The 11,565-nt window shown below is 37.3% G+C and overlaps 1 protein-coding gene across 55 annotated transcripts in view; it reads left to right on the plus strand.

Annotated features, from left to right (window-relative positions):
• RALYL (RALY RNA binding protein like) overlaps positions 1-11,565 on the plus strand; it is a 739,058-nt gene that overhangs the window by 483,579 nt on the left and 243,914 nt on the right. The window lies entirely within an intron of this gene.

Below are 11,565 nucleotides of genomic sequence, written 5' to 3' on the forward strand. Positions count from 1 at the left end.
GTATACAGGCACACACACAAAGATAAATATTTAACAGTGAACCAGGCTCTGCACTAGAATCTGCAGGTATAACAAAGAACTCTGTACTTATGGGAGGTTAAAGTTTGAGAGACATGTGGAATGGAAAGGCATTGAAAATGATACAGAGCAATTTATCCTGGCCCCGCATTTGTGCCAACTGAGGAGTTACAAAAAATACTGTTTCTGGGTTCCACTCAAAATCAAATAAATCAAAATGTCTGGTTATGGGACCAACCGTATGTATTTTAAAAATTTTCCCAGGAGGCACTAATGTGTAACAAATACTGAAAATACTCATAAAGAGCACCTTTATCTGAGATCAAATGAAATCGTTTCTGTGCCACCTTTCTTCCACTGCAGTCCTCTTGCTTCATACTCCCAGATTTAGCAAGAAGAAAATGAATTATAACATTGGGATAAAGGGCCAGTTGATGGTGCTTGGAGTTTATTCATGTATTTATTCTGCAAACATTCAGTGAGCACCTATTATGAGCTGTGTGCTGGGCACTCTGGTGGTAGTTGCTAATACAAAATTAACAAGACATTGTTTCTGCTATATCAATTAGGAAAGACAAGTAAGTAATCTGTGATTACATTCCTGAATGAGAAGTGCAACATTGTGAGGGTAAATTTAAGTTAAGTAAAAGTGTGAAACCTGGACATGGGTTTTTAAAACAAAAGGAAGAAGTTCCTTTTTCTCTTTTCTGTTTTGCCATTTAATTCATTTGCAGAAGAAAACAGGTAATTTGACCATGGATTTTTTGCTTATTTTGACCTTCTGTTTATTTTTACTTTTTTTTTCTCCTTGCCTCTTGTATTTCCTGTAAACTGTTAGCTAAATCTAGAGACTTGTTCATATTCAGGTTCGAGTATGGGCTGGAATACTTCATCAGTAATGTTGAGTACTTCCATCAAGAGACCCATGCTACCTGTTTTAAGTGTCTTTTTGGATTTTATGGACCATTATTTTCATTCCCTAAATCCAGTATTTTGTCAAGAACTTTAAGTGGTTATTTTCTTTTACTCCTTCTTAGTATATTTGCCATAATTTTCTATGAAGAGAAACTTTCTCTGATTGACTAGTTATGCTGCAGTACAGTGGGTATAGGAAAATCAAGATAAAGGCTTGCTTCTTTATCAGTTTTCAAAATGATGAGTTGGTACTTGAATATCAGTTAAAGTAGACTGCTGAAGGATTTTTCCTGTTATCATTATGAACTAATGTTTTTAAAAATTAATCTCCTCAGTCCATTACATTTTTTTTCCCTGAATAATCCCAACTTTGGTCAATGACAGCCACTTCAGATTGGCTCCAGAGAACTTTAGACTTGACCCCGGTCATCATTGATAACTTCCTTGTTTCTGGTATGATAAAATGTAACCAACATATCTTATACCATTCCTGATCTACACTGAGAACCAGTCAGCCCAACAAGTAACTTAGTGGGTGTTGGTGTTTAGGGACTCAATCTGAAAACTTACCTGGAGTTATATAACCTAGGGAGGATGGCAGTGCTTTTCTGAGAATGAGCAAGAAAATGGGCATTCCACATAGGCTGAGGAGTGCATGGTGGTGTGCAGGAAAATCATGCCATAGAGACAACAGCCTTTTAAAATTCTTTTTCCTTACTATTTTTAATCCTCTAAGGCATATGTTTGCAGGCTCTTTCTCCATGGCTTACCTCCTTTGATGATGAAAAGGTGTGTGATAATAGCAGGCAATCGTTTTATAAATTACCACTTCATTTCATGGGGTTCTGTGTCTGTCAAGGTATATGACAATCAGGAAATGCTTACTGAATAGTCACTATGCTAGCTTTAAGGGATTCAAACAGGATTAAAACCTTATTTCACGTTGTCCTTCAGGTTATTTCAATAGAGTGATGAATGCTATTGTTGGAGCCCAGAACAAGAAAGTAATAAATTCTGCCTGAGTGAAAAAGAGAAGCAGTCATGCAGTGAGTTTTCATAAAGGTCTTAAAGGAATAAAACTTTGGTGTGTGTGTACGTATGTAACAGGGGATAGGGAGTTGGGGCATTATTTAAAACAGAACAGCTGTAATAAAGACAAAGACACAGTGATTTAAAAGTGGAAAGGTAGTAGATCCAGGTGGTTAGAGTATAGAGTGCCTGGGTGGAAGTTCCAACATTATGCTGAGAAGACACTTTCAGTCAGTTTGTTGGTGTAGCAAGGTCACTTATAAAGTTATTATCTAAACTTGAATAATCACAGTTGGCATTAAATAGAGAGGCATATATTATGAGACACTGTACAAATAGAACAGTCATTCTGGTGAGTGGATGTGAGGAAAGATTTAAATATGACAACATAATTTTGTTATGATGACTGTTATTAGAGCTTGGATGATAATGGAGTGAGACCAAAGTAGGGTAGTTAGAGCTCAGAAATAGCCAGACAAGACAGAGAAGGATATTAAAGGATTTTTTTAAAAATCACAAAACATAAAGAAATCAAAAAGTAGACAATCAAGTATCCAAGAAATTTACTGGTAAATGTCAGATAATTGGCAGGAAAGCTATTGAGGTTAAATGTTCAACAACACATCCATCCATCCATCCATCCATCCATCCATCCATCCATCCATCCATTTATTCATTCATTCGTAATCATTTACTCAATGATTATCAAGGCCTATTATGTTCATGTGTCTTGCAAGAAACACATAGAAAAATAAAACTTGGTCCCACCCTTTGAAATGGTGTAATACAGTAATAGATAACTGAGATTCACAGCCACAACTTTCAGTCTAGTGTTGGTTTTGTCAGATCACCCCTGGACAGTCCATCTCACTGGGTACACTTTGACTCTGTATGTTAAACCAAAGTAATTCGGCAGTCATCCCTTTTCACTAAATGTTGACACTAGGTGATCATGAATAGTCTCTGGGCTTGGGCAGGGCCATTTGGGAATTACCATTTTGGAACACCCATGTGCTTCTGAGCATTTTTTTTTAATTTCAACTTTTATTTTAGATAGAGGGGGTACCCGTGCAGGTTTGTTACATGGGTATATTGCATCCAGGTAGTGAGCATAGTCCCCAGTAGTTAGTTATTCAGCCCACATCTTCTCCCTCCCCCCTCCCCCCCCCCCCACTCTATTAGTTCACAGTGTCTGTTGTTCCCATCTTTATGTCCATGTGTGCTCAGTGTTTAATTCCCACTTATAAGTGAGAGCATGTGATATTTGGTATTCTGTTCCTGCATTAATTTGCTTAAGATTCTGGAGCTGAGCATGCTGTTGATCAAGTCTGTCCACATCAAATGTCAAGGATTCAAAACACCCTATCATATAAGATGGCCATTCACTTTTTACAGTCCAGACCTCAAGTCAGTGGTGTACTTCCATTACTAATGGAGAAGGTGTGTCCCAACTCCTGCCCTAGATTCATACCATAGCTAAGTAAATGAAAAATTCTCAAAAAATTATCTACTTATTAAAATAAGCATAACTTATTTTCTGTCAAACACCAAGTATTTTGCATCTGTTTGTAAATAGAGCAGTTTGCAAACTACAAGTGCGCATTTCAACCGATTCCTAGTCTTTTCACTCTCTCTTTATGTTCATCTTTCTTAATATAGTCTCAAAACACCCCCAAGGGGATTGGTGCTGATTCTTGCTTATTTTATATCAAAATTCTTGAGAGCTTGTTCCTCTGAAACAGGGCTCTTTTTTTCCTTCATTTTAAGGCATCTTCTCTGACTATTTCCTGCTGAAAAAAAAAAACTAATAATAACCTCCCACCTCTTGCACTAATTTCCCACTGATAATGGGATCCTGGTCATGGACTTTCTGCCTAAGATCACTTTTAATATTTTTTCCCTAAAAATACAGATGAAGGACTTCAAAGCTCTTTTGTTGTTTTTTATACTTTTCCCACTTGAGGAGTTACACAACTCTTGCTGCTGGACATTCAACTCATATTGAACACAATACTTGTACACAAATTAGCAATTTCTGTTGACTATCCCTTGAGAAAGAGAAATGTCAGACATCTGATCTCCCCCAAACAAAGTGATGATTATAAAAATTATGTAAAAAATTTCACAATGCCTTACACCAATGTATTATGTACTTCTTCACATGGCTATGAAGAAATACCCAAGGCTGTGTAATTTATAAAGAAAAAGAGGTTTAATGGACTCATATTTCCACATAGCTGGGAAGGCCTCACAATCATGGTGGAAGGTGAAGGAGGAGCAAAGCTATGTTTTACATGGCAGCAGGCAAGAGTGTGTGTGCAGGGGAACTGCCCTTTATAAAACCACCAGATCTTGTGAGCGTTAATCACTATCATGAGAACAGCATGGGAAAGCCCACCCCCATGATTCAATTGCCTCCCACCAGGTCCTTCTGAAGACACATTAGGGATTATGGGAGCTATAATTCAAGATGAGATTTGGGTGAGGACAGAGCCAAATCATATCATTCTGCCTCTGGCCCCTATCAAATGTCATATCCTCACATTTCAAAACGAATCATGCCTTCCCAACAGTCACCCGAAGTCTTAACTCATTTCATCATTAACTCAAAGTCCCACAGTTCAAAGTCTCATCTGAGACAAGGCCAGTCCCTTCTGTTTAGAGCCTGTAAAATCAAAAGCAAGTTAGTTACTTCCTATATACAATGGGGGTACAGGCATTGGGTAAATACACCTGTTCCAAATGGGAGAAACTGGCCAAAACGAAGGGTCTATAGGCCCTATGCAAGTCCAAAATCCAGCAGGGCAGTCAAATCTTAAAGCTCCAAAATGATATCCTTTGACACCATGTCTCACATCCAGGTCATGCTGATGCAAGAGGTGGGCTCCCACAGTCTTGGCCAGCTCTGTCTCTGTGGCTTTGCGGGATACAGCCCTCCCTGCTGGCTGCTGTAATAGGCTGGCATTGAGTGTCTGTGTCTTTTCCAGGTACACAGTGTAAACTGTTGGTGGATCTACCATTCTGGGGTCTGGAGGATGGGGGCCCTCTTCTTGCAGCTCCACTAGGCAGTGCCCCAGTGGGGACTGTGGGCGTAGGGAGCTCTAACCCCACATTTGCCTTCCACACTGCCCTGTCAGAGGTTCTCAATGAGGGCCCCATCCCTGCAGCAAACTTCTGCCTGAACATCCACGTGTTTCCATACATCCTCTGAAATCTAGGCAGAGGCTCCCAAACTTCAATTCCTGACTTCTGTGCACTCACAGACTCAACACCACATGGAAGCTGCCACAGCTTGGGGCTTCCACCCTCTGAAGCCCTGACCTGAGCTGTACCTTGGCACAGTTTAGTCAAGGCTGGAGCAGCTGGGACACAGGGCACCAAGTACCAAGGCTACACACAGCAGTGGGGGCCTGGGCCCAGCCCACGAAACCATTTTTTCCTTCTAGGCCTCTGGGCCTGTGATGGGAGGGGCTGCTGGAAGGTCTTTGACATGCCCTGGAAACATTTTCCCCATTGTCTTGGCAGTTAACATTTACTCCTCATTACTATGCAAATTTATGCAGCCAGCTTGATTTTCTCCTCAGAAAATCAGAAGATGGGTTTTTCTTTTCTATTGCATTGTCAGGCTGCAAATTTTCCAAACTGTTATGCTCTGCTTCCCTTTTAAACATTCCAAACATTTTAAATGTTCCAAACCATATCTTTGTGAATGAATAAAACTAAATGCTTTAAAGAGCACCCAAGTCACATCTCTAATACTTTTCTGCGTAGAAATTTCTTCCACCAAATACCCTAAATCATCTCTCTCAAGTTCAAAGTTTCACAGATCTCTAGGGCAGGGTCAAATGCTGCCAGTCTCATTGCTAAAGCATAACAGGAGTCACTTTTACTCCATTTCCCAACAAGTTCCTCATCTCCATCAGAGACCACCTCAGCCTGGACTTTATTGTCCATATCATTATCAGCATTTTGGTCAAAGCCATTCAACAATTCTCTAGGAAGTTCCAAACTTTCCCACATCTTGTCTTATGAGCCTTCCAAGTTTTTAGGAAGTTCCAAACTTTCCCACATTTTCCTGTCTTCTTCTGAGTCCTCCAACTGTTCCAACCTCTGCCTGTTACCCAGTTCCAAAGTAACTTCAACATTTTTGGGTATCTTTACAGCAGCACCCCATTACTTCGTACTAATTTACTGTATTAGTCCATTTTCATATTGCTATGAAGAACTACCCAAGACTGGGTAATTTATAAAGAAAAAGAGATTTAATGGACTCACAGTTCCACATGACTGGGGAGGTCTTATAATCATGGCAGAAGGCAAAGGAGGAGCAAGGGCACATCTTACATGGTGGCAGGCAAGAGAACATGTACAGGGGAAGTGCCCTTTATAAAACCTTCAGATCTCATGAGACTTATTCACTATCATGAGAACAGCACAGGAAAACCTGCCCCCATGATGCAGTTACCTCCCACCAGGTCCCTCCCATGACATGTGGGGATTGTGGGAGCTACAGTTCAAGAGGAGATTTGGGTGAGGGCACAACCAAACCATATCAACCAAAAAGCTCCAGTTTCTGTAAATGTGTTCATGTTATTGCACTAGTCAAATCTGCAGAGAATCTACACTGTCTTCCACAAAGGCTGAACTAATTTACCCTCTTACCAACAGTGTATAAGTGTTCCTTTTTCTCCACAACCTTGCCAGCATTTGTTATTTTTTGACTTTTTAATAGTAGTTATTCTGACTGGTGTTAGATGGTATCTCATTGTGATTTTGATTTGCATTTAATGATCAGTGATGTTAAGCTTTTTTTCATATGCTTGGTGGCCACATGTATGTCTTCTTTTGAAAAATGTCTGTTCATGTTATTTGCCTACTTTTTAATGGGGTTGTTTGTTTTATTGTAAATGTGTTTAAGTTACTTGTAGATGCTGAATATTAGACCTTTGTCAGATGGGTAAACTGCAAAAATTTTCTCCCATTCTTTAGGTTGTCTGTTTACTCTGTTGGTAGTTTCTTTTGCTGTGCTGAAGCTCTTCAGTTTAATTAAATCTCATTTTTTCAATTTTTGCTTTTGTTGCAATTGCTTTGGGTGTCTTTGTCATGCAATTTTTGCTCGTACCTATATCTTGAATGCTATTGCCTAGGTTGTCTTCCAGGATTTTTATAGGTTTGGGTTTTACATTTACATTTTACATTTAAAATCCATCTTGAGTTGATTTTTGTATATGATGTAAGGAAGGGGTCCAGTTTTAATCTTCTGCATATGGCTAGCCTGTTATCCCAGAACAATTTATTGAATAGGGAATCCTCTCCCCATTGCTGGCTTTTGTCAGGTTTGTCAAAGATCAGATAATTGTAGGTGCACAGTCTTATTTCTGGGTTCTCTATTCTGTTCCATTGGCCCTCTATGTGTCTGTTCTTCCAGTACCATGCTGCTTTGGTTAGTCTAGCCCTGTAGTATACTTTGAAGTTGGGTAGTGCAACGCCTCCAGTTTTGTTTCTTTTGTTTAGGATTGACTTGACAATTTAGGTTCCCTTTTAGTTTCATATGGATTTTAAAATAGTTTTTTCTAATTCTGTGAAGAATGGCAATGGTAGTTTAATGTGAACAGCATTGAATCTACAAATTGCTTTGGGCAGTATGGCTATTTTCATGATATTGATACTTCCTGTCCATGAATATGGGATTTTTTTTAATTTGTGTGATCTCTGATTTCTTTGAGCAGTGGTTTGTAGTTCACTTTGTAGAGATCTTTCACTTTCCTAATTAGCTGTATTCCTAAGTATTTTATCCTTTTTGTGACAATTGTGAATGGGAGTTCATTCCTTATTTGGCTCTTGGCTTGACTGTTGTTGGTGTATAAGAATGCTAGTAATTTTTTCACATTGATTTTGTATCCTGAGACTTTGCTGAAGTTGCTTATTAGCTTAAGAAGCTTTTGAGCTGAGATGGTGGGGTTTTCTAGATATAGGACCATGTCTTCTGCAAACAGGGATAGTTTAACTTCCTCTCTTTGTATTTGAATGCCTTTATTTCTTTCTCTTGCCTGATTGCCCTGGCCAGAACTTCCAATATTATATTGAATAGAAATGGTGAGAGAGGGCATCCTTGTCTGGTGCTAGTTTTCAAGGGGAATGCTTCCAGCTTTTGCCCATTTAGTATGATATTGGCTGTGACTGCCCTATCTTTCAACATTACTCTAAACACAGCATTCTTTTGTAGTTATCTCTGGCTCTTCCTACTCCTTCCAAAGGCCAAGATGTACACTCTGGATGATTACACAGTACTTTAAAAGTACTTCAAAGGTAATTCTTTTTATCATTATCTCATCAAGGCTGTATAATCCAGGTGGACAGGACCATTTGTCTTTTATTCTTAGCATATTTTTAGCATATGGAGAATACTCAATAAAATTTGATAAAATTTCCTTTTTAGCTCTTAGTGCAGTCATTACTTGCTTACTAGGTTATTACGCATGAAATCCAAGATTACAGAACACTTAGAAGAAGGTACATTTCTTATATTTTTGAAACCAAATTGTATACAAAGTAAGCACAGTTTGAGTTAAAGTTGTTTCTTGGATTTATTCTTACTTATGTTTATTTAAAATTTGATTATAAGAAGATATATGCCAATAGTGCAGATGTAAAAAAAAAAAAGGAAGACTTAAAATTTACTGCTATCTACTGTTAAGTAGCTCTGAGTTCTTAAAAATGTAATTATGTTTGTAACTTGTTAAATTGAAGGTTTTTAAACCATAAAACCCATAACAAATAAGATTTATCGTATTTCCAATTCCATGCTGTTTGAGAAATACATTTTTTTCTGAAGGCTTAGCAAATAAATATTTAAGTTGAATATAAACTTGAATTTTTCACTAAACTTTTAAAATATGCTTATTAAATGTTCTTATTCCTTAAATTACAATGTAACTTTGGATGACTTGGGTGGTTTTGAGATTATTTGAAGAATCTCTTTTTTCAAAAGTATGTATTAAGGTATAACCAGTCCACCAATTCTGTTACTTTTCTACTGATGTTTTTAAGAAATTTGACTTAATAGAGGCTTACAAATGGCTCCTTAAATAGGAGATAGGCGAACTGAATGGAATAGACCTAATTCCCCAAATATTAGTTTAAAATTTACTTCAAAAAGATAAAAATTAGTTTATACTTGAGGAATATTTTCAAAACTGAATTATAAAATGAAATTTTAGGAGTTGATTTTTGACTTAGGTAACCAGTATTTGATGATTTTCATGCTCATACAAATATTATCAAATTGAAACATCTCTTTTTCTCTGAAAGGCCAACTTTGTTTCTCTGTGGAATTCCTCACTGTTTTATGTGTTTGGTCACATCCAAAAAGTTTGTCTTTTTGAGTTCCCCCTTTTCTGTAGATATTCTCCTTGGCGTTTCACCATAGTCCATAGACGTTAGATCGTCTTCTCCACCATGTATATTATTCAGGTGATGGGTGCTCTAAAAGCCCTGACTTTACCCCTATACAATATATGCATGTAACAAAATTGCACGTGTACTGCGTAGATTTGTACAAATAAAAAGGGGGAAATATATTATTGGTCACCAACAAAAAGAGCACATGAATTGGTGAATCTTAACTAAAAAGAGAACTGCAAGGCAATTGATGTGTTAATTAGTGTAATGTGGCAATCATTTCACAATTCATGTGTATGTCAAATCATTACACTGTATATCTCGAATATATCCAACTGTTATTTGTCAAGTATACCTCAACAAGGCTGGAAAAAATGGGAAAATAAATAAATAAATGAAATGATGAGCAATAATATTTTATAAATGTCCTTACATGAAAGAATATTTTCTCTTTGGATTTTTTCTGATCCAAGTAATTGCAATTGCAAAAACCAGGAATCACTAATGTAGAGATATGGATGGCCAATTTGGGTTGCTTATACTATGACTATATCAGAAATGCAGCTTATTCCTTTCTCCAAATAGTCCCTGAGATTTTGCAGATGTCCATACAGCAGAAATAGGTCTTAGTTTGTGGCTTGCATGCAAATATACAAAGCTTGATTGTAGGCATAACCCCTTTTTTCCTATAGATAGTTTATGAGAATGTTGCAATCAAAACCATGTCCTAACATTCCCAGTGTGCTCCCAAATCCCTTGTCCCAGTTAGCATTTAGTTATGTGAGCAAACTGATTTCACAATGAGTCCATGAGATAACTGAATCTGTCTCCAGAATTTTAGTGTGATCGTGCTTAATAGCAAATGACCATTTAAGGTCCCCACCCAATCCTAAAACAGCCTTCTGGATTTCAAGAAGCTATATAATAGCTGGTTATGCCATCATTAAGCCTCAATTAAATGATTATTAAGGCCTTTCTGTGCTTGGAGTTATGGGGAAACATAGAAATGAATGCAAAAGTTATAATCCTTTCAAAATATTTTTTATTGCTTGCGCTTGATTACATATTAAAAGATTTTTTTTTTCTTTTTTTGAGACAGAGTCTCGCTTTGTCACCCAGGCTGGAATGCAGTGGCCTGATCTCAGCTCACTGCAACCTCTGCCTCCCGGGTTCAAGCAATTCTTCTGCTCAGCCTCCCAAGTAGCTAGGACTACAGGCACATGCCACCACACCTGGCTAATTTTTGTATTTTTAGTATGGACGGGGTTTCACCATATTGGCCAGGCTGGTCTCGAACTCCCAACCTCATGATCCACTCTCTTGGGCCTCCCAAAGTGCTGGGATTACAGGCATGAGCCACCCTGCCCGTAATGCACTCTTGTACTTTAAAGGAAGAAATGAAGAATTAAAGGAATGAAGAAGCCAAAAGATTTTATCAAGGCAGAGCTATATCTATTAAGCCTTCAAAGCTAAACTTGTTTTTCCCGAGTTGTCAATGTCCCAGATAAAATAAAATTTGATCTTGATTAGCCTTTTATTAAATAGACCAATAAAAAGTTAAAATTATTATGTTTGTAAAATGTATTTTGAATAACATGGTTCAGATATTTTCATATAGCAGTAAGTATAGATTGGAAATAATATAAACAGTTAAACCTGGTCATTGTACTACTTATAACCTTAAAAGGAAATAAAAGTATAAATGGGAATAGGAATAGATTACCTACTAAGAAATGATATGTTATAATAGCAAGAATAAATAATTTGCCTATTTCTTAATGATCTGAACAAAATGTGTTTTTCAGAGATTTTTTGAATCAGAAAAGTGTACCTATAACATATTCTATCTAAGAATTTAAACTGGTGATAAAACTGGAAATAGAAAAGAATAAAGATTGCTTCTAAATAGAAAATGCTTAAAACCAGCAGTATTTATTGATATTTTGTGCAATAAAAGAAAATGAAAGATGCAGTTATTTCAGCTGCTTTCTCAGGTAAAGCTGTTTTTAAAGAAAACTTCTTAAAGCTATGGCTAACCCAGCTCCCACGTGAAATGACTTTTTTTATGACATTTTCAATGTACCTTCAATGCATGTACTTCTAGTCTAAATTATTAGCCTAGGCTACTTTCCCTTTACTCACCTCAGATAGCATTTTTCAAGAAATAAACTTATGTACATCACAAGTGGAAAATAAAACCAC

Source organism: Homo sapiens, chromosome 8 (genome assembly GCF_000001405.40).
Source record: "Homo sapiens chromosome 8, GRCh38.p14 Primary Assembly".
NCBI classification, from domain to species: domain Eukaryota; kingdom Metazoa; phylum Chordata; class Mammalia; order Primates; family Hominidae; genus Homo; species Homo sapiens.